General features: G+C 44.4%; 2 annotated features.

Annotated features, from left to right (window-relative positions):
* Window positions 2,030-2,230: a silencer, noted in NCBI's record as "peak6945 fragment used in MPRA reporter construct". NCBI's record gives its function as "represses an SCP1 promoter by STARR-seq MPRAs in K562 erythroleukemia cells {active_cell/tissue: K562}" and the evidence as "EXISTENCE:reporter gene assay evidence [ECO:0000049][PMID:32103011]".
* Window positions 8,783-9,320: an enhancer, noted in NCBI's record as "H3K27ac-H3K4me1 hESC enhancer chr8:23129689-23130226 (GRCh37/hg19 assembly coordinates)". NCBI's record gives its function as "activates a minimal SCP1, AML or CMV promoter by ChIP-STARR-seq in naive H9 embryonic stem cells {active_cell/tissue: H9 hESC(naive)}" and the evidence as "EXISTENCE:reporter gene assay evidence [ECO:0000049][PMID:30033119]".

Genomic DNA, 24,090 nt, shown 5'->3' on the forward strand with positions numbered 1-24,090 from the left:
TCTCCTGGGCCTGCCTAAAAGGGTTGTGTAACCAGAGTCCTGGGACCGGGGTGGGCTTTGCAGTCAGACATGCTGTTGTGAGAGAGACGAAAGGGTTACACTGCGGTTCTCACTGCCTGCCTGAAGTGACAGCCGAAGGCTGAGCAGACCTCCGGGAAGTGGTCATGAGGATCTGGCTCGATCTGCTGAAAATATAATCTAGGCCATCAGAAAAGAGGAGGGAAGAGCTGGAGCTGTGAAGAAAGATGAGATCACTGAGAGCTGCTGAGTCCCAAAGAATCAAAACGAAGCCCTGCTCTGAGGCTTGTGGGTGAGCCTGGTGACCTTCCTTTCTTTTGAACTGTCTTCATGTCTTCTCATTTTTACGTAGTTGTGGCTACTCTTTGGGGAAAGTGTGGCTGCTTTTCTCTGTCTGCACAGAAGCAATGCAAGGTTATAGACTCCGGAACATGAGAGCCAGAAGGAGCCACGAGAAGGGTAGGGGAAACGTCTGTTTTACAGAGGAGGACCCAAATCTTAGGCAGCTTGCTGAGGCCACAGAGCTCACAGGGGAATTTAGTTTGTTGACTTCCAGCTTGGAATTCTTTGTCACACAAGTGTTGGGGCTCATAAAATAATGCCCAAAATGTGGCACTTGACGAGCTGAACTAAAGCAGCAGCTTCAAGGTTTCTCTCTGGCTTTCCCCCGCCATCGTGTGTCTGTGACCCTTTCTTTTCTTTTCTTTTTTTTTTTTTTTTGACCCTTTTCTAAAGCACCAGGAGCATGCTGTCTCTCTGACCTTTTTCTTTTCTTTTCAACCCTTTCTTTTCTAAAGCACCAGGAGGACCTCTTTCTCTGGAAGTTCCCTTACCTGATTAAGAACACTTCTAAAATAAATGCAGCCGTCTTAAAGCCCCCTCCCTATGAATCTCATTAAATAACCAGGAATGATTAATCACCCAAGAAAAGACTGAAAAAGAAGCTACAGCCAGGATACCATACCCAGACAGACTTTTCGTCTTTTCTTCTGAGGGAGGTTCCAAGAGATAACCTGGGAGACTGTATCTGCATAATAAGACAACCTTAGTTCACAGTGCAGTACCACCCCTCACCTTCCATGACTTGTCCACAAGCTATTGTTTGTCCTTCAGTCCCATTCAGCATCCAAAGAGAACCATTTGCAAACCACTGTCAGGTATTTGGGTCCATTCATTTACAGCCCCCCAGCTCCCTTTCCCTAGTGAAGAGAGTATTTAAGTGCCAACCATTGGGCCTTTCTGTGTATGTTCATATTTTTTATATGGCTTCCCTGCTTCATGCATGTTAATAAATTTGTTATGATTTTCTCTTGTTAACCTGTCTTTTATTATAAGGGTGTTGGCTGTGACCCTTAATAAGGTGGAAGAAAGAGATCACCCCTTTCCACTCCTGCACCAGGCTACTCCTAACCACACTCTCAGAAACACATTCTCATGACCAGGTGCAGTGGCTCACACCTGTAATCCCAGCACTTCGGGAGACCAAGATGGATGGATCACTTGAGCCTAGGAGTTCAAGACCAGCCTGGGCAACATAGTGAGACCCAATCTCTAAAAATGGAAGAAGAAAAAAGACACTCTCAAAAGATAACTCCAAAAGTACTTTCTGTGGTGGGCATGTGCCCTGACCCCATGTCAGTGCTTTCAGTTGGCAGACCAGCTTCCTTTGGCTGACATTTGTGCAGTTTCACAGACTTCTACAGATTGGAAATTACAGGCTGGGTGCGGTGGCTCATGCCTGTAAACCCAGCATTTTGGGAGGCAGAAGCGGGCAGATCACTTGAGGTCAGGAGTTCCAGAGTAGCCTGGCCAATGTGGTGAAACTCCATCTCTACTAAAAATACAAAAATTAGCCAGGCGTGGTGGCGGGCACCTGTAGTCCCAGCTACTTGGGAGGATGAGCAACGAGAATCGTTGAACCCGAGAGGTGGAAGTTGCAGTGAGCTCACATCGCACCACTGCATACCTGCCTGGGCAATAGAGTGAGATCCCGTCTCAAAAAAAAAAGGAAATTGCCTCCCAGGAGATACTGGGTAGGGCTGTGCCTCAGAATCTCCCCATTTTTAGGGAAACCAAAGAAAGTATTAAGATTGTTTTGTTGTTGTTTTGCTGGTCTGCACCCTGTAGATAACGTTTTCATTGTATTTTGCAGCAGGCTCTTCAACTGTACAGAAAAGAGCTGGCTACTGGCTGCACAGCACTTCCTGCAGGAGTTGGTTCACAAAAGCAGTAAAGCTGTCTTTATTCACAGGTGATACAATTGTGTATGTGGTAATCCAAGGAACCTATAGAGAAACTACTTGAATGGAAAATTTATTTTAGCATGGTCACTGGATACAAGCTCAATATTTTAAATATTGAGTAGTATAGTTCAGTATTAAATATTGACTATTTAGTATAGTTCTATATACTAGCAAAATTATAAAAATTTAAAAGAAATGATCTATGCTAGCCCCTAATATATTGAATTCTGAGAAAAAAGTTTAATACCCTTTACCATGGCTTCTCAACCTTGGTGCTACTGATATTTTGAGCCTATAATTATTTGTTATGGGAATTGTACATTTTGGGATGTTCAGAAGCATCCCTGCCTCTAGGCACAAGACTCCATTAGCACTGTCCATCCCCTAGCATAACAGCCAAAAATGACTCCAGATACTGCCCTGGGGGACGGGGAGGATGGGAGCAAAATCACCCCTAGTTAAAAACCACTGCCTACACTGAAAACTATAAAATATTATAGAGAAAAAAAAAGTTAAAGATGTCCATCCATTCTTCCAAAATTTATCTATACGGTCAATGAAAACCCAGTCAAAATGCCAGCAGATTTTGTGCATGTGTGCACGTGTGTGTATGTATAAATTAAAAAGCAACTCTAGGCCGGGTGTGGTGGCTCACGCCTGTAACCCCAGCACTTTGGGAGGCCGAGGCGGGCGGATCACTTGAGGTCAGGAGTTTGAGACCAGACTGGCCAACATGGTGAAACCCTGTCTCTATTAAAAATACAAAAAATTAGCTGGGCGTGGTGGCTTGTGCCTGTAATCTCAACTACTCAGGAGGCTGAGGTGGGAGAATCACTTGAAACCGGAGCCGGAGGTTGCAGTGAGCCGAGATTGTGCCACTGCACTCCAGACAGACTGGGCGACAGAGCGAGACTCCGTCTCAAAAAAAAAAAAAAAGAAAAAAGAAAAGAAAAAGAAAAGACATTCTAAAATTACATAGAAAGGCAGAGAATGAAAAATAGCCACAGCAATCTTGAAGAAGTGAAATAAAGCTGGAGGACTGCTGGGCGTGGTGGTTCATACTTGTAATCCCAGCACTTTAGGAGGCCAAGGTGGAAGAATCAGTTGAGTCCAGGAGTTCAAGACCAGCCTGGGGGAACATAGGGAGATCCCGTCCCTACAGAAAATAATTTTTTTTAAAAATTTAGCCAGGCATGGTGGTGTGCATTTGTGGTCCCAGCTACTTGGGAGGCTGAGGTGGTAGTATTGCTTGAGCCTAGAAGGTCAAGGCTGCAGTGAGCCATGATTGCACCATTGTGCTCCAGCCTGGGCAAAAGTGAGACTGTCTCAAAAAAAAAAAAATAAAATAAAAAGCTGGAGGACACACTTTTCTCTATGTATGCTGTACTTCAACTTTTTAAAAAGTGAATAACACTAAAAGATGTTGAATGAATAACTTCCCAACCACTAGTGGGTATAAAAGGGCAATAAGAATAACAGTACAGGCCGGGCGCGGTGGCTCACGCGTGTAATCCCAGCACTTTGGGAGGCCGTGGCGGGCGGATCACAAGCTCAGGAGATCAAGACCATCCTGGCTAACACGGTGAAACCCCGTGTCTACTAAAAATACAAAAAAAATTAGCCGGGCATGGTGGCGGGTGCCTGTAGTCCCAGCTACTCGGGAGGCTGAGGCAGGAGAATGGCATGAACCTGGGAGGCGGAGCTTGCAGTGAGCCGAGATTGCACAACTGCACTCCAGCCTGGGCCAAAGAGCAAGACTCCGTCTTAAAAAAAAAAAAAAAAAAAGAATAACAGTACAAAGTACAATAGAAGACAGGAAAAATTTGAAACAGAAGTACAGAAACTCTTGTTTAATAGAAAGTACTAAATTAGACAGTAAAAGTTAATAAAAATATGTCAGTAATCACAAGGAGTGTAAATGAATTGAACTTGCGAGATAAAAGACAGATGTTGGTCCGGGCGTGGTGGCTCATGCCTGTAATCCCAGCACTTTGGGAGGCCGAGGCGGGCGGATCATCTGAGGTCAGGAGTTTGAGACCAGCCTGGCCAACATAGCAAAACCCTATCGCTACTAAAGATACAAAAATTAGCTGGGAATGGTGATGCACATCTGTAATCCCAGCTACTCGGGAGGCTGAGGCAGGAGAATCACTTGAACCTGGAGGCAGAGGTTGCAGTGAGCTGAGATCATGCCACTGCACTCCAGCCTGGGCAACAGAGTGAGACTCCATCTCAAAATAAAATAAAATACAGATGATTTTAGGTTTAAAAAAATACAATTAAATCCTGAGCTATTTGTAAGAGATATATTTAAGTTCATACAAAGATTTTAAATAGGCTGGGCACAGTGGCTCACGCCTGTGATCCCAGCCACTTTGGGAGGTCGAGGTGTGTGGATCACGAGGTCAGGAGATCGAGACCATCCTGGCTAACACAGTGAAACCCCATCTCTACTAAAAATACAAAAAATTAGCCAGGTGTGGTGGCGGGCGCCTGTGGTCCCAGCTACTCAGGAGGCTGAGGCAGGAGAATGGCATGAACCTAGGAGGCGGAGCTTGCAGTGAGCTGAGATTGCACCACTGCACTCCAGCCTGGGCGACAGAGTGAGACTCCGTCTCAAAAAAAAAAAAAAATAAAAAGATTTTAAATGAAAGTATCAAAAAAAGGACTGTATCTGAGGTAGGAAGTGGGATTGGACTCCAGAGGCGGTGTTTGGGTACTGGACCAAGTTGAGGATTAGCTAAAACAGGGACGAGGTGGAAGCAGCTTTTCATACGACATGTCCACCAATGTGCCATGTCAGTTTACCACTGCCATGCAGACACCCAAAGTTACCACCTCTTTCCATGGCAACAACCCAATGACCCGGAAGTTACAGCTCTTTTTCTAGAAATGTCTGCATAACCTGCCCCTTGATTTGCATATAATTAAAAGTGTGTGTAAATGACTGCAGAACTGCCTCACCTGACCTCAAATGATTTGCTCCCCTCAGCCTCTCAAAGTACTGGGATTACAGGCGTGAGCCACTGTGCCCAGCCCAGACATAATTTTTTAAAAGGTGAAAACGCAAGCCTAAAACCAGAAGGAAACAGTTTCAACTCATAATTGACAAAGTCCTACAAATCTAAAAGAAATAGAAAACCCCAAAGGGGATAGGGGGCCAGCAAGGTGCACGAGCAATCGATTCTCAAAAGGGAAAAGGCAATTTTCAGAGTGGGAAGCGGGAAGAGTGGTGAGGAGGGTGCCTTAGTCAGGTCTGGCTGCCTTAACACAATACGGAAGACTGGATGCTTAACTGAAATGCACTCTTTCACAGCCCTGGAAGCTGGCAAACCAAGGTCAAGGTGCTGGCAGGGTCGATTCCTTCTCAGGCCTCTCGTTGGCTTGTGGGTGACCACCTTCTCCCTGTGTCTTCACGTGGTCTCCCTCCTGTGCCAGTCTGTGTGCTAATGTCCTCTTGTAAGGACAGCAGTCATACTGGATTAAGGGTCACCCTAATGACCTCATGTTAACTTCATTACCTCTTTAAAGCCCATATCTCCAAATACAGTCACATTCTGACGTGCTGGGGGTTAGGACTTCAGCATATGATTTTTTTTTTCTTTGAGATGGAGTCTCACTCTGTTGCCAGGCTGGAGTGCAGTGGCGCGATTTTGGCTCACTGCAACCTCTGCCTCCCAGGTTCAAGTGATGCTCCTGCCTCAGCCTCCTGAGTAGCTGGGACTACAGGCGTGCACCACCACGCCTGGCTAATTTTTGAATTTTTAGTAGAGACGGGGTTTCACTGTGTTGGCCAGGATGGTCTCAATCTCTTGACCTCGTGATCCGCCCGCCTCTGCCTCTCAAAGTGCTGGGATTACAGGCGTTGAGTTACCACACCCGGCCACACCATATGATTTTTTTGGGGGGTGGGGAGACATCAGTCCATAAGAGAAGGTTTGCCTAAGTAGAGAGCTATAGGAGTAGCCAGTTCCCAGGTATACACTGGAGCCAGAACCCACAGGTTCCCGAAGGCTTAAGGTAGGGCGGGAAGGGAGAAATAAAGGGTGATGGATACACTGTGGGCTTGAACCAGTGGGTGGGCTCTGGTGCCATATATTGAGATGGTGAGAACCTGGGGAGGAATAAACTTGAAGGTCGGCCTGGGATGGAGCCTGAGGCATTCCAGCTGTTAGAGGTTGAGTAGGAGAGGAGGAGCCAGAAAAGAAAACCAAAAGGGGCTGGGGAGGAAAATGGAAACCCAAACCTGTAGGGTGATGGAAACTAAAAGAGAATGGCCATCATTGAGTTCTGCTGAGAACCAGGCAGTGGGAGCCCTCTGTTCCAGGGGCAGGCACAGAAGGAGGCATTGTTTGCAGATGACAGAAAAACAAGAAGAGAACCCAGTCTGCTTTTCACTATCACCGTGTGCTGACAATTCTAAACAATGTGGGTGATTTATTGTTCTAAGTTCCAAATAACTACTGTGGTTATCTGAGCTTCAGTGGGCACATTCCTATCTCTTGGGCTTTACTAACCCTTGTACTTGGAAGTTCATCCAGAGAACTCACAACGATACTGGGGGCTGCTCTCACATACTCACTTTGCAGGTAAGTTCTTAACGGTTTGGAATCACTAGAGCTCATTGTGGTTGCAGCTTGTGTCTTCAACACTTAGGATAATACGTATTCCTGTGTTTAAACAGTAGATTCAAAGTAAGCCAGGACAGTGTAGTAATTGTAAAGACCAAAGACACAGAGCATGAGTTACTGTAATTATGTCATTCTCTATGGCCACTTGGAGTTTTGCTTGTGTTTAACATTTAAAACAGTGGGCCGGGCGCGGTGGCTCATGCCTGTAATCCCAGCAGTTTAGGATGCTGCGGCAGATGGATTACTTGAGTCCAGGAGTTCAAAACTGACCTAAGCAACATAGAAAGACCCCATCTCTACAAAAATTAAAAAATTAGCCAGGCCAGGTGGCACACGCCTGTGGTCCCAGCTACTCAGGAGGCTGAGGTGGGAGGATCACTTGGGCCTGGGAGGTTGAGGCTGCAGTGAGCCATGATTGTGCCACTGCACTTCAGCCTGGGCAACAGAGCAAGACCCTATCTATCTCAAATAAATAAATAAATAATAAAACTGTGGAAAAGAACTAACCATGTGGTATACTTTTATTTGGTAAGTGAAAATTTTAGTTCATGCATGAAATATTTTACCAAATTTGAATATCTTTAAATGGAAATTTATTCTTTTCAAAGTGTTCATTGTTGTTCAGCTAAAGAACAAATCAAGACAGTGCTGATTATTACTTATTACTATGTAATTATTACCAAAAATAACTCTGTTGTATGGAGGAGGAAGATGTTTAAAAATGATCAGCTCCCCTGGTGTCAAATATGCTAGTTATGCCACCAAAATAGTCAATATTTTATCTTCAAATATAAATACATAAAGGCAAAGCTTACTATCTTCTGGAGGGGTATTTATCCTTTTATTTATTTGCTTATTTATTTTGAGACAGGGTCTCACTCTGTTGCCCAGGCTGGAGTGCAGTGGTGCAATCATAGCTCACTGCAGCTTCTACCTCCTGGGTCCAAGTGATCCTCCCACCTCAACCTCCTAATTAGCTGGGACCACAAGCATGTGCCACCTCACCTGGCTAATCTTTGGTATTTTTTTGTAGAGATAGGTTCTTGCTCTGTTGCCCAGGCTTGTCTCAAGTTCCTGAGTTCAAGTGATCCACCCGCCTCAGCCTCCCAAAATGCTGGGATTACAGGTGTGAGCTACTGCACCTGGCCTTATCCTTTTAATTGCAGAAGTTGGTGAGGAAAATAATTCAGAGGTTATTCTGGCCAACACAGAGAAATTCTGGGTGAGTTGAGGAAAACGTCATATGAACTGTGTCAGCGTTCATATTAAATTAGCTGATGGCCCCATCTGTATTTTCACAGAAATGACTCGTGTGGTGTTTTAGTTTATTGAGTTTCCTTGAATATTTTCTCTTTTTCCAAAGCTATAAAAACTAGTGATTTCCTAATATTTCCCTCTCAAAGCAGTAAAGGGGCTTTAGGAAATTGAAAGGAGGGAATTGGAAAGTTGGTCTCCAAGCCTCTCAGCCCAGCTTCCACCAGAACAAACCCCATTTAAACATTAAAGTCCAGGTGTTATGGGCTAAATTGTGACCCCTCAACATTCACATATTGCAGCCCTAACCACCCGCCAGTCCTCCTCCACTCAGAATATGACTGTATTTGGAGATCAGGTCTTTAAAATGGTGATTAGGTTAAACTCAGGCTATTAGTGAGAGGTGACAGCGTGCTGGCAGTCCTCAGAGCCTTCGCTTGCTCTCGGCACCTCCTCTGCCTGGGCTCCCACTTTGGCGGCATTTGAGGAGCCCTTCAGCCCACCACTGCACTGTGGGAGCCCCTTTCTGGGCTGGCCAGGGCTGGAGCCCACTCCCTCAGCTTGCAGGGAGGTGTGGAGGGAGAGGCGCGAGCGGGAACCGGGGCTGCGTGCGGCGCTTGCGGGCCAGCTGGAGTTCCGGGTGGGCGTTGGCTTGACGGCCGGCACTCGGAGCAGCCGGCCAGCCCTGCTGGCCCTGGGCAATGAGGGACTTAGCACCTGGGCCAGCGGCTGCGGAGGGTGTACTGGGTCCCCCAGCAGTGCCAGCCCACCGGCGCTGCACTCTATTTCTCACCGAGCCTTAGCTGCCTTCCCGCGGGGCAGGGCTCGGGACCTGCAGCCCGCCATGCCTGAGCCTCCCACCCACTCCATGGGCTCCTGTGCCGCCCGAGCCTCCCCGACTAGCACCACCCCCCGCTCCACGGCGCCCAGTCCCATCGACCACCCAAGGGCTGAGGAGTGCGAGCGCAGGGCGCGGGACTGGCAGGCAGCTCCACCTGCAGCCCCCGTGCGGGATCCACTAAGTGAAGCCAGCTGGGCTCCTGAGTCTGGTGGGGACGTGGAGAAGATTTATGTCTAGCTCAGGGATTGTAAACACACCAATCAGCACCCTGTGTTTAGCTCAGGGTTTGTGAGTGCACCAATCAACACTCTGTATCTAGCTGCTCTGGTGGGGCCTTGGAGAACCTTTGTATCTAGCTCAGGGATTGTGAATGCACCAATCAGCGCCCTGTCAAAACGGACCTCTTGGCTCTACCAATCAGCAGGATGTGGGTAGGGCCAGATAAGAGAATAAAAGCAGGCTGCCCGACCCTGCAGTGGCAACCGGCTTGGGTCCCTTTCTGTATTGTGGGGGTTTTGTTCTTTCGCTCTTTGCAATAAATTTTGCTGCTGCTCACTCTTTGGGTCCACGCTGCTCTTATGAGCTGTAAAACTCACCGCGAAGGTCTACAGCTTCACTCCTGAGCCAGCGAGAGCACGAACCCACCAGAAGGAAGAAACTCCAAACACTTCTGAATATCAGAAGAAACAAACTCCAGACGCGCCACCTTAAGAGCTGTAAGACTCACCTGGAGGGTCCGCGGCTTCATTCTTGAAGTCAATGAGACCAAGAACCCACCAATTCCGGATACATTAGGGTGGGCCCTAATCCAATAAGACTGGTGTCCATATAAGAAGAGGAAATTTGGGGATCCGGCATGGTGGCTCACACCTGTAATCCCAGCACTTTGGGAGGCTAAGGCGGGCAGATCCCTTGAGGCCAGGAATTCGAGACCAGCCTGGCCAACATTCCCCGTCTCTACTGAAAATACAAAAAAATTGGCCCAGCGCGGTGACTCAAGCCTGTAATCCCAGCACTTTGGGAGGCCGAGGCAGGTGGATCACAAGGTCAGGAAATCGACACCATCCTGGCTAACATGGTGAAATCCTATCTCTACTAAAAATACACACAAAAAAATTAGCTGGGCGTGGTGGCATGTGCCTGTAGTCCCAGCTACTCGGGAGCCCGGGAGGCTGAGGCAGGAGAATCGCTTGAAACCGAGAGGTGGAGGTTGCAGTGAGCCGAGATCGTGCCACTGCACTCCAGCCTGGCTGACAGCGAGACTCTGTCTCGGGGGAAAAAAAAAAAAAATTAGCCGGACATGGTGCATGCCTGTAATCCCAGCTACTCAGGAGGCTGAGGCACGAGAATTGCTTGAGCCCAGGAGGCAGAGGTTGCAGTGAGCTGAGATCGCGCCATTGCACTTTAGCCTGGGCGACAGAGCAAGACTCTGTCTCAAAAAAAAAAAAAAAAAAAAAAGGAAATTTGGATACAGAGAGACTCCAGTGGTGCACGGTGCACAGAAGGACCACCAAGTGAAGAGGCAGCAAATGGGCAGCCCTCTGCCAGCCGAGGAGACAGGCCTCAGAGGAAACCCAACCCTGCTGACATCTTGATCGTGGACTTCCAGTCTCTAGAACGGTGAGAAAATAGATTTCTGTTGTTTAAGCCACCCAGCCTGTGCACTTTGGTATGGCATCCCTGGCAAGCTCATTCACTAGGGTAATATTTGAGCAGAGGATTCCACAGCTAGTAACTGTTGGAAATCACTGGAATTGAGCACAAGCTTTGGGATGTTCACGTCGGTTGGAAGCACAGCATTGCTGTTTAGTAGCACATTAATATTGGGACCCAATTTTTATGTCTGTAAACTGGGGTAATAACACCTACTTTGAGGGATTTCCCTGGGGATTCTATGGGGTAATGGGTGTAAAGTGCCAGGTGCACAGTAGAAGCCCAATTAATGAGGATGCTAACCCTAGCCCTCCCCAGGACCTGGGCTGGGCGGACACTGCCCTAGTGACTTTAGTGACGTCATGTCCTGCCCAATGGGACTGCGCTGGGGAGGGTGGAAATCAGTGCACTTTGCAATTAAGGGAGGGTCACTTTAAAAAATGTTTGCTGAGTTAGGCCGTCCGAGGTGGCTCACACCTGTAATCCCAGCACTTTGGGAGGCCAAGGTGGGTGGATCACGAGGTCAGGAGATCGAGACCATCCTGGCTAACACGGTGAAACCATGTCTGTACTAAAAATACAAAAAAACTAGCTGGGTGTGGTGGCAGGCGCCTGTAGTCCCAGCTACTCGAGAGGCTGAGGCAGGAGAATGGCGCGAACCCAGGAGGCGGAGCTTGCAGTGAGCCAAGATCGCAGCACTGCACTCCAGCCTGGGTGACAGAGCGAGACTCCGTCTCAAAAAAAAAAAAAAAAGAAGTGTTTGCTGAGTTAATAAATTTTCAAAATTTTGCCAAATTTGCAAGTAGTGCTACTTTGAATGATTTGGGAAGAATAAAAAATAGGTATATCCTGCAGCTTATGAAAATCACATGCCTATATTATACATGCACTATAGAGATATACATTTGGATACATACATTACAGACAATTTTATGTGAAAAGAGCAGGAGTCTAGAGAGGAAACAACCGATCATCATAGCACTCAGAGACAACCACTGCCCACATTTCAGTATATTTTCCTTCACTGTCTTTTCTATTGCCTTTTTTTTTTTTTTTTTTCCTTGAAACGGAGCCTGGCTCTGTCACCCAGGCTGGAGTGCAGTGGCTCAATCTCAGCTCACTGCAACCTCCGCCTCCCGGGTTCAAGCGATTCTCCTGCCTCAGCCTCTGAGTAGCTGGGATTACAGATGCCATGCCTACCACCACACCTGGCTAATTTTTGTATTCTTAGTAAACATGGGGTTTCACCATGTTGGCCAGGCTGGTCTTGAACTCCTGGCCTCAAGTGATCCGCCTGCCTCCGACTCCCAAAGTTCTGGAATTACAGGTATGAGACACTGTGCCCAGCCTCTATTGCCTTTTGTTTAGTAAATGAGATCAATTTTGTTTCATTTTTTTCATAACCTTTAAACTTTTAAACATAGGTACTTTTTATGCCGTTACAAAGGCTTAATATTCATTTTTAGTATCTATTTTTCCTCCATCCCCTTGGGCCCCAGTGTGGCCACAGACAGGCTCGATGTGAGGTTGGCTTTCGAGCTAGGGAAAATAAATCTGGATTTTTTAAAAAATTATTTTATTTTATTTTACTTTTTGAGACGGAGTCTCACTCTGTCACCCAGGCTGGAGGGCAGTGGCACGATCTTGGCTCACTGCAATCTCTGCCTCCTGGGTTCAATCAATTCTCCTGCCTCAACCTCCTGAGTAGCTGGGATTACAGGCACCCACCAACACGCCCGGCTAATTTGTATTTTTAGGGGAGACAGGGTTTCACCGTGTTGGCCAGGCTGCTCTCGAATTCCTGACCTCAGGTAATATCCTTGCCTCGGCCTCCCAAAGTGTTGGGATTACAGGCATGAGCCACCATGCCGGGCCATAAATCTGCATTTGGAGGTAGTGTCCAAATTTCTGCAAAGTCATTTCATTGTAAGGAGACCTTCACAGGAGATCCCCTCACTCCATCTGAGTTCCCATGACTCTGCCCTTTAAGAAGAGGCTAGAACTCTGGAGAGGTTGAGGTCTCCTGGGAACTGAGGGACAACAAAAGTGTCAGAGATTTGGGGGGTGTGGCGGGGACTCTCCTGGCTGGCATGGCACACACACACAGGCTAATCAGGTAGAGCGAGAACTAGGGAAGATGACTCATTCCCCTCTCCCACCAGCCCCTGCGCCTCCGCACCCTCCCCTCTCTCCCACTTTCCCTCTCTAGTTTTGGCCCTTTCTCCACCATCTCTGCCTTTCTCTGCCCTTTTATCACTCCCACCGCCTTGGCTCCAGAATGGTCTTCACTTCTGGAAACAGCTGTGGCTTATAAGAGTTTCTTAGTTGATTTTCTTGGATTTTTTAGGTTAAAAAAAAAAAAAATCAAAGGTCGGGTGTGGTGTCTCATGCCTGTAATACCTGCACTTTGGGAGGCTGAGGCGGGAGGATGGCTTGAGCCAGGAGTTCAGGACCAGCTTGGGCAACATAGTGAGACCCCCGTCTCTACAAAAAATACAAAAATTAGTCTGGTGTGGTGGTGTGCATCTGTAGTTCCAGTTACCGGAGGCAGGAGGATGGCTTGAGCCCAGGAGTCCAGGTTACAGTGAGCTACGATCATGTCACTGCACTCCAGGCTGGGTGACAGAGGGAGACTTTGTCTCAAAAACAAACAACAAACAAACACAAAAACCACCAAAAACACAAATATTCTGCAAACAATGAGAAGTTGATCACCTCAAATGTCTAAACTTTCCAGTTTTTATGTCTTTTTGTCAATTTGCTTTTGTTAATACCTCTTTAAAAAAAGGTAAACACTAGAGGCATGGGTACATAGCCTTGACTTGTCCTGAAGTGAATATGGTTCCTCTGTGCTTCTCCATTTAGCCGTGTGTGGTGTTTTGATCATTTTATTTAGATCCTTAAATGAATTTGCGTAGAGTTGTTCTAACTGTGAGTTGGGTAAAGAACATATAATAATGTTTCGCTTTTTGAAACATTCTCTCTGTCACCCAGGGTGGAGTGTGCAGTGGCGCAGTCTCGGCTCACTGCAAACTCTGTCTCTTGGGTTCAAGCGATTCTCGTGCCTCAATCTCCCCAGTAGCGGGATTACAGACGTGAGCCACCACACTCAGGGTTTTGCCATGTTGGCCAGGCTGGTCTTGAACTCCTGACCACAAGTGATCCGCCCGCCTTGGCCTCCCAAAGTGCTGGGATTACAGGCATGAGCCACCACGCCCGGCCTCTTTTTAATCCATTTTAATGTTTGTAATATAATTGAATTATCCCACGTCTGGTTTGCTTGAAACACTTTGGTGTTACTTTTTTTTTTTTTTCTGGCTTCCTCTCCCTCCCCAGTTATATTTTTCTATATGGGCAGTGTTTCTTTCTTAACCAACTTCCCTAACTTCTGGCAATTATTTGGAAAACATAGCATTTACTGACTTTGCCATAGTTATACGCCTCTTCTCCTCCCCACCATACTTTGGAATGTACTCTGGGGTTCCTGTCCCAGTTTATGGCGATAAAGAAATTGCTTTTGTTTTTACATTCTGTAGTCTTCCTTTCAAGATTTATAATATTTGTATACCATTTTGTTGCTCTGATTATTTAAGTTAATTGAATGTTTTAAGTAAATGAATTATTTAGCACAAGGTCTCTTCTCCCAGGTCATCCCAGCTTGTGAGTCATTTATTTGAATTCATCTCTTGGTTGTGGGGACCATGTCTTCCAGTGGCTTTCTAGGAAGGACCGTGAATCTCAAAGCATAACTCAGAAATATTTCATGAGCTGGGTAACTAATTCACAAGCACACCAAGGAGACAGACATTAGATTCTTACCAAGGCACAAAGACCTAAATAAATAAACAAACAAACCAGTGGGAGGATTTATAAAGACAGAAGAAAAAGGTGCCAGCCTAGGCAGGGTGATTTTTCTAATGATTAGCTGGAGGCTATCAAAGAGGCTAGTCTGGGTGATCTGTTCTGGAAGAGATTGAAGAGGTCACTAGAGAAAAAAAAAGTTATCTGTGGATTTTGCAAGATGTCTTTTGAGTAAAGCTGTGCAGTACACGTGACAGGCTGTCCCTACACAGTGTCTGCCAGTATGGCCTGGCATCCCCACCTGACAGGCCAGCATCACTCCATTTCTCTTGGCAGAATGTGACTGCAGGTTTGAGAATATCTTTCTATTGCCATCACATTTTATAGAATTTCCCAGTCTTAACATTTTCCATCTAAAATTCTACAGATATTGTTCCATTGCTTTCTGGCAGATGAGTTGCTAGGAAAATCTATCAGCCACTTAATTTTTTTCCTTTGAATTTTGCCTAAATCAAAATTCATTTTTTTAATTATCAGAGAAAATATTTTTACCATAATCTGGATCAACCTTTTATTTATATATTTATTTTCTAGAACACCATTTTAATCTGTAGATTCACATTTTCTTTTGTTTTAATAAAATATTGTTGTATTTAACATTGTGTGTGTGTGTGTGTGTGTGTGTGTGTGTGTGTCTGTGTGAGACACAGGGTATCACTCTGTCACCTAAGCTGGAGTACAGTGGCACAACCACAGCTCACTGCAGCCTCAACCTCCCAGGCAAAAACGATCTTCCCACCTCAGCCTCCCAAGTAGCTGAGACTATAGGCATGCGCCACCATGCCTAGCTAATTTTTTTTTTTTTTTGGACGGAGTCTCGTTCTATTGCCCAGGCTGGAGTGCAGTGGCGATCTAGGCTCACTGCAAGCTCGGCCTCCTGGGTTCATGCCATTCTCCTGCCTCAGCCTCCTGAGTAGCTGGGACTACAGGTGCCCGCCACCACGCCCAGCTAATTTTTTTGTATTTTTAGTAGAGATGGGGTTTCACTGTGTTAGCCAGGATGGTCTCGATCTCCTGACCTCGTGATCTGCCCGGCTCGGCCTCCCAAAGTGCTGGGATTATAGACGTGAGCCACCGTGCCCGGCCATGCCTGGCTAATTTTTTAAATTTTTGGCAGAGACGGGAGTCACTCTGTTGTCAGGGCTGGTATTGAACTCCTAGGCTCAAGTGATCCTCCTGCCTTGGCCTCTCAAAGTGCTGAGATTACAGGTATGAGCCATCGTGCTCAGCCTGCATTTAATTTCTTTTTCCTGTAATTTTGTTTTTTTCCTCAGGTATACTAATTGTCCACGTGTTAAATCTCCAGTGTATGCCCCTGTATTTATGTTTTTGTCTAACTGCTTTAATCCCTTTGGCCTTTTCTTTGAATTCCATGTAATTTTCTACGTGGAGTTTTTCTTTTTCTTTTTCTCTTGTTTTTTTTGAGACGGAGTCTTGCTCTGTCGCCCAGGCTGGAGTGCAGTGGCGCGATCTTGGCTCACTGCAAGCTCCACCTCCCAGGTTCACGCCATTCTCCTGCCTCAGCCTCCCAAGTAGCTGGGACTGCAGGCACCCGCCACCACGCCCGGCTAATTTTTTTTGTATTTTTAGTAGAGACATGGTTTCACCGTGTTAGCCAGGATGGTCTTGATCTCCTGACCTCGTGATCCGCCTGCCTCGGCCTCCCAAAGTGCTGGGATTACAGGCCTGAGCCACTGAGCCTGGCCTCTATGTGGAGCTTTTCATGTCTGAGAGTGGCTTTTGTTCACAAAAGACTTTAGTTACTCAGATTTTAAGTTATATTAGTTTATAAAAATAACAAATTTAAGTACCTAGTTTTTACTCTGTTTTAAATTTTAATTTATAAATATTATAATTTTATTTATATATCTAATTTTTTTATAAAATGAGAGCAACTTTGACAAACTTAAGGTGACAGAACAAATTTCACTTAAACATTTGGTCCCAGTTTTATTATTAAACATTTCAACTGTATTTATAAATGTGATATATTTGATCTTTTTCCATTGAAATTTTTATTGAGAAACTTAGAGTCCCATGCAATTGTGAGAAATATACAGAGAGATCCCATGTACCTTTTACCCAGTTTCCCCCACTGGTAACATCTTGTAAGCTGTAGTATAATATCACAACCAAGATATTGACATCAGTGCAATTTCCTAATCTTACTCTGTCAATCTCCCCAACACACCCTGCCACTCACTACTCCCTGTTCCTGACCCTTGCAAACTCTAATCTATTCTCCATTTCCAAAATTTTGTCTTTTCAAAAAGTTTATATAAATGGAATGACTAAGTAGCACTCTAGGATTGGATATTTTCACCAAGTTGTCAAATGAATGTATGTAAAGTTCCTTATCAGACTTTTGCTGTCTGCAAGGTCTGTAATGATATCCCCTGCTTCAGTTCTGATATTTGTAATTCGTGTCTTCTCTCTTTTTTTATGTCAGTTTTATTAGAGGTTTATTAATGTTACTGATCTTTTCAAAGAACCAGCTTTTGTTGTTGATTTTTTCTACTGCTTTTCTGTTTCAATTTCATTGATTTCTGCTCTTTTTAACATTTTCTTCCTTCTCCTTTCTTTAGGTCTATTTTGATCTTTTTCTTTTGATTTGAGACTTTTCTTTTTTTCCTATTATATGTATTTATACTACAAATTTTCATCTTAGCACTGTTTACCTGTGCCCCACAAATTTTGATAAGGTCTATTTTCATTTTCATTTTATTCGGTGAATTTTCTTATTTTCCTCAGGATTTTCTCTTTGACTGATGGATTGTTTAGAAGTATGTTGTTTAGTTTCCAAGTGTTTGGGAACATTCTAGCTACCTTTCTGTTATTTATCGCTAGTTTGACTCTATTGTGATCAGAGAGCACACTCTGTATAATTTCAATTCTTTTAAATTTGTTGAGGTTTGCTTTATGGTCCAGGATATTATCCACCTTGGAGTATGTTACATACGCACTTGAAAAGAATGTGTATTCTGCTGTTGTTGGCTGGAATGTTCTATACATGTTGATTAGATCCTGTTTATTAATGGTATTATTGATTTCTTCTATATCTTTGTTGATTGTTTTCTGTCTAGTTGTCCTGTCCATTGTTGAGAAAGTCTTTAACTGTAATTATAGATTTATTTACTTCTCCTTTGAATTCTCTGAGTTTTGGCTTTACATACCTCGCAGTTCAGTTTGATGCTTATATATTTAGGACTGCTGTTTTCTTGGTAAATAGACTCTTTTATCATTGTATAATGTCCCTCTCTGTGTCTTGTAATTTTCTGTGTTTCTAAGTCTACCTTATCTGATATTAATATGGCCTCTCCTGCTTTTGTTTAATTAATGTTTGCATGATAGATCTTTTTGCATTTTTAAAATTTCAACCTGCCTATATTGTATTTGAAATGAGCTTCTTGCAGATAACATATACTTAAATTTTGTCTTTTTACACGACTATTCCAACCTCTGTCTTTTAATTGGTATATTTGGAACGTTTACATTTTATGTAATTATTGATATGTTAGAGTATAAGTCTGCTATTTTCTTTTCTGCTTGTTGTGTTTTTCAATTTTCTGTTTTCATGTCTTCCTGTGGGTTACTTGAAAATTTCTTTTAGAATTTTGCTTTGATTTTTCTTTTTTTCCTTTGTTTTTTTTTTGCTTTGATTTGTCTATTACTTTCAAAAAATATCTATTTATATCCTTTTTAAGTGGTTGCTCTAGGTATTACATGACTTATCACAATCTTTTGGTGTTGTCATTTTACCAGTTTGAGTGAAGTCCAGAAAGCTTACCTCCCTTTACATCCTTTTACCTTCCCCCATTTATAATTGTCTTAAATATTTTCTTGACATACATTTAGAACCACATTAAAGTTATATTTTTTAACTAGCAAACATAATGTAGAAGATTAAGAAGAGAAAAAATCTATTGTAATTACCCATATTTTTGCCTACTTTGTTCTTTCTTCCTTCCTGATATTCAAATATTTTAAAAAATTGTTTCTGTTTAGAGAACTTCTTTTAGCCATTCTTTCACGATAGGTCTCCTGCCAACAAATTCTCTTAGTTTTCCTTCATCTGAGAATACCTTGATTTTCTCTTCATTGCTGAAGCATATTTTCATGGGATATAGGATTCTGGGTTAGCAGTTGTTTTCATTTGGCACTTTCAAAATCTTATACCGTTTCTTTTGTTCTTCTGGTTTCTGATGAGAAATCGACAGTCATTCAAATAGCTTTTCCTCATAGGTAAAGTAAGGTAGGTTTTTGTTTTCTTTTTTTTTCTGGCTGCTTTCAGTTTTTTTTCTTTTGCCATTAATTTTCAGAAATTTAATAATGCTACATCTTGGCATGGATTTCTTTGGTTTTGTACTGTTTCAGGTTCACATAGCTTTCTAAATCTGTTGGTTTATTTTCCAAATTTGGAAAGTTTTCAGCCATTGTTTCTCTGAGTATTTTATTAACCTCACCCTCTTTCTCCTTTCTTTTGGGGTGACCAATCACAAGAATGTTAAATCTTTTTTGTTATGGTCCCGTGGGTCCCTTAGGCTCTGTTCATTTTTGTTTTCAGTCTATTTTCTCTCTGTTGTTCTGACTGGTGATTTCTATTGGTCTATTTCCCAGTTCACTGTTTCATATGGTTTGGCTGTGTCCCCACCCAAATCTCATCTTGAGTTGTTGCTCCCATAATTCCCAAGTGTCATGGGAGGGACCCGGTAGGAGGTAATTGAATCATGGGAGTGGGTCCTTCCCATGCTGTTCTCGTAATAGTGAATAAGTCTCCTGAGATCTGATGGTTTTATAAATGGGAGTTCCCCTGCACTTGCTGTCTTGCCTGCCACCATGTAAGACATGCTTTGCTCCTCCTTTGTTTTCTACCATGATTGTGGGGCCTCCCCAGCCATGTGGAACTGTGAGTCCATTAAACCTTTTTTTCTTTATGAATTACCCAGTCTTGGGTATGTCTTTATTAGCAGCATAAGAACAGACTAATACACTATTTCTTTTATTTTCCACTTCCATTTTGCTACCGAGCTTTTTATTTGTGATTGCATTTTTCAATTCTAAAATTTCTTTTTAGCTCTTTGTATCTTTCAGGTCTTTGCTGAAACTATTTTTACATTTGTTTCAAGGGTGGTCATAATTGCTTGTCGAAGCATTTTTATTGTGGCTGCTTTAAAATCTTTGTAAGATAATTTAACATTTCTGGCATCTCAGTGCTAGCTAGTATCTATTGATTGTCTGTTTTATTGAGTCCGAGATCTTTCTAGTTCTTGGTATCATAGTTATTTTTAGTTGAATGCTGGACATCTTAGGTGTTATGAGATGCTGGATCTTACTTGTACCTTCTGTTTCAGCTCTCTTTCTCTGACACTACCCAAGCAGAGGAATGGGGGGCAAGCCTTGTTACTGTCAGGTGGGATTTAAAGTCTAGGTTCTCCATGCAGCTTCCTTTGACACCTGAATGGGGGTTCCTCATTACTGCTGGGTGGGAGTGGGAGTTCTGGGTCCCCACTAGACCTCCACAGATACCTTCCTATCTGGGAGGGGTAGAAGCGCCTTGTCGTTTTTCCTCATGTGGCCTGCACTAACATCAAGAAGGTAAGGTGGCCTCTTGATTACTAGGTGGTGATAAAAGCCTTACTGTCAGCTAGACCTCCTCTAATGCCACCTCAAGGTGGAGTGGGAAGGGAGTTTTGTTATTGCCGGGTAAGGGGTGGAAGTCCAGGTTCTCTAGGGGTCTCTACCGACGTTGCAAGGGGCGAGGCTCATTAGTGCCTGGAGGGATTGAAAATCCCAGCTGCTACTTGGCCTTCTCTGACCTCGTCCTGGTGGACAGATTGTGGTGCTCATTACAACCTGGTGAGGGCAACAACCTAGGCTTCCCCTTGGCCCATGTTCACGTGGCTGGGGATGCTGTCTGGCTGGGGTAGACCAGTCATTTTTGCAGTGTTTTCTGTCTTGCTTGGCTGCCCCTTTCCTCACCCATTTCCTACAGGGATAAAGAGGGTTTTTATTGGGATTTTGCTTTTGGAGGGTTACTTGTGTTTATTTAGTCTGTATCCATTGGTATTGTTGAGTTTCTGGCTTCCTCAAGCTGCAAGTCTGGTGATTTAGGGCATAAAGAAAACCCAGGAAACTTAGCACTTTGTCATTCCTTGAGCCGTGAGGTCGCTCGCTGACCTGCTTTCTTCTCTCCACCTTTCAGAGTCTTCTTATGCTTGTTTTACATATGATATCCAGGAAGTTTAGTTGTATTTAGTGGAAGGAATAGGAAAAAGTATGTTTTTTCCATCTTCTACCAAGTCTTGATTTCCTTTTAAAACGCATTAAATGGAGCACCCAGCGGCTATGAAGCAAGACCTTCCTATGTGCCATACTCAGCAACCCTCACTGATTTAAAAATACTGTAAATCTAGTTCTCTTTAGTATTATAATAGTATTTACAACTTCATCAAATTCTTTTATATCTGCCCATTTAAAACTGTAAGCCTGAGATCCATTTTACTTTTAAAATTGAATCACTACCTAATGTATTAGACAGATTTCACTAATATGCCAAACACATGTGAACATTACAATGACGTCAAATAACAAACATAAACTGGATATTCATAAACCTAACTTTCCTGGGTTGGAAAGACACTTAAGCATGAAGAGAACAATTTGTCTTCTCAAACAAGCTGAGGTTACTGCATGGACAGTTCAATGCCTGTATTCATTACCTTTTCAGGCAGGCTGTGTTTGCTTAGAGTGAGGAGTTGTTAGACTCAAACCACAGACTTCAGAGCTGCAGGTGCCCAAGGTGATCCTGCCCACGGCAAGGAGAGTGTGCTGGCTTGTCATTTAGGGTCACTATGGCAGCGGGGGACTCCAGGTTCATCCCCTCAGCTGAGGCCGTTTGCAACCCCATGTGCCCTGGATTCAATCCTTTCATAATCTTTCAATCATACCTCCCATTTTGGGTAAAATTCTATAGCTCACACCCAGCCTGCTTCTCCCACTGATAAGGTCCATCTAATTTATTTAATCCCTGACCTTGGTGCCTGGCTATTGGCCACAGGATTAGGACAATTCTAGGCTGGCCACGGTGGTTCATGCCTATAATCCCAGCACTTTGGGAGGTCGAGGTGGGCAGATCACCTGAGGCCAGGAGTTCGAGACTAGCCTGGCCAACATAGTGAAACCCCGTCTCTACTAAAAACACAAAATTTAGCCAGGCGTGGTTGTGCATGCATGTAGTCCCAGCTACTCGGGAGGCTGAGGCAGGAGAATTGCTTGAACCCGGGAGGTTGCAGTGAGCCAAGATTGTGCCGCTGCACTCCAGCCTGGGTGACAGAGTGAGACTGTCTCAAAAAAACAAAACAAAACAAAACAATTTTAATGACATGCTAAAGTTGGAGAGTCTTCACCTTGCAGTGTTCAAGAGCAGGGGGTTGACAGGCTAGATCTGGGTTTGAGTTCCAAATCTCTGGGTCTCCCTTGGCTAAACCTCTGTTTATCCCCATACCATAAGGTTAACAATTTTCATCTGAGAGGGCTGCTACAAAGATTAAAGTGCAATTTGGTTTTTTTTGTTTGTTGTTAGTTTGTTTGAGATGGAGTCTCGCTCTGTCACCCAAGCTGGAGTGCAGTGGTGTGATCTCGGCTCACTGTAAGCTCTGCATCCTGGGTTCACGCCATTCTCCTACCCCAGCCTCCTGAGTAGCTGGGACCACAGGCGCCCGCTACCGCGCCCAGCTAATTTTTTGTATTTTTAGTAGAGACGGGGTTTCACTGTGTTAGCCAGGATGGTCTCGATCTCCTGACCTCGTGATCCGCCCGCCTCAGCCTCCCAAAGTGCTGGGATTACAGGCATGAGCCACAGCGCCCATCCCCACTAAAGTGCAATTTGTTTAGCAAGCTTTATGTCAATAAGTAGTAACTATCTTGATTTTTTGTAAGCCTTTACTCCATATCACTGATTTGTTTTCAGCATTGTTGACTCTAGCTTTGCTGGTTTGATGATGAACATGATTGCCTCTTTCACGTCTTTCCATAGCTCTGACAGTTCTCTTTCATCTCAATTCATGGCTTACCCATTGAACATGGAAATCAGGCTTTGACTTCCTTGAGAGTGTGAAGCAGTTATTAACTGGAAATTTCTTGTTTTCTCAAGAGAGTCTTCCAAAATATTCTTATCCTGTATCTGTTCCCTGCTCTGCTTTCTTGCTTTCTCTATCTCTTTCTCTTTCTTTCTTTTTTCTTTGTTTCTTTCTTTTTCTTTCTTTCTTTCTTTCTTTTTCTCTTTCTCTCTTTCTTTCTTTTTCTTTCTTTCAGTAGAAATTCTGCCCATCCTTTGTGCTGCTTTTGTTGCATTTACTCACCTTTGATGGGGACCATTCTACCTTATCTGCTGTTTGCCCTCAAAGGTGTGGGTAGATGTGCTTTGACTCCCTTCCCTGTTTATCTAGGAATCTCTAGATAACATCCACCCATGATGGAGACCTGGACACTGATACCTTTTTTCCTGTTTAACCTCTGAGTTGCCTAAAGAGGGTTTGGTAGAAACTAGATTCCTGGACAGCCTTCCCCCGGTGCTTGTCCCTACTGAGTCTCTCTCTGAATTTGTTGAACACCTCAATACCATGACCCAGCTCTAAAGAGGTGGGGACATGGCTTGCTTCCTGGGTTTTGGGTTTGTTCCTCCATTTTGGGGAGGTGCAGCCACTTTGTCGAAAAAGCTGGGCCTCTGTTTTCAGAGACAGCATGTGGTGCTAAGTGGACTTGCCTCTCAGCCTCACGCTGCCTAGTCCAGGGACCCTGGGCAGACAAAACAATGCCATGGTGTGGCCTGCTCCCACTTCCATTAAGCCAGCATGGAGTGTGGGTAGGGCTGGTGGAACCAGAATCCAAACGGGTGCTCTCTGCTCATCCTTTTTCCCCAGGAGTTGAATGCCCTCCAGTCTAGGGACTGGGGACCTGTCAGATCTCCCGAAACTCCTCTCACAACCATGCCCAGAAAGGAAATTCATGACTCAGCTCCCTGAGTTCTCTCTGCATTTTGGTTTTGTCTTTATTCTAGGTCATTTTTTATTCTTCTTGCTGGGTATCTGGAAAGATAGGTTTTGTAATATAATATAATGCCACTGTCATTTTTAGAAATGCGTTGGAAAAAATTGTGAGACAGCAAAATGCATCTAATTTTTTCTCCATTTCTCCATCCCCAAGCCACTTCTCCCAGTCAGCTTTTTGAGGGACAGCCCTCCCTCCCCCATCCCGCCTGTGCTTTATGTCAGAGCCCACTCAGACTGCCCCACCCCTGACCAAAACCTAGGTCTTAAGTGCCCTTAGGTCAGTGCTTCCGGATTCAGAGTGACCAAGGGACTGCATTTTAATTACTTTCAGGGAGCAGAACGATTTCAACCCTGGTCTCCTAGATTATAATCATCCATCCCACAGGCTGTCTGATGGCAAGAATTTTAAGCCCCATTTAAGGTGGACGCTAGAATTATTTCTGGATGGAGCAGAGTAGCACAAGCTGCTGAGCTGCAAATCACCGTGATAGTGGCTGCCCAACCCAGTAACCCACAAGGCTACCACGCCTTGTCAGTGC

The sequence above is a fragment of the Homo sapiens genome, chromosome 8 (assembly GCF_000001405.40).
Source record: "Homo sapiens chromosome 8, GRCh38.p14 Primary Assembly".
NCBI lineage: Eukaryota > Metazoa > Chordata > Mammalia > Primates > Hominidae > Homo > Homo sapiens.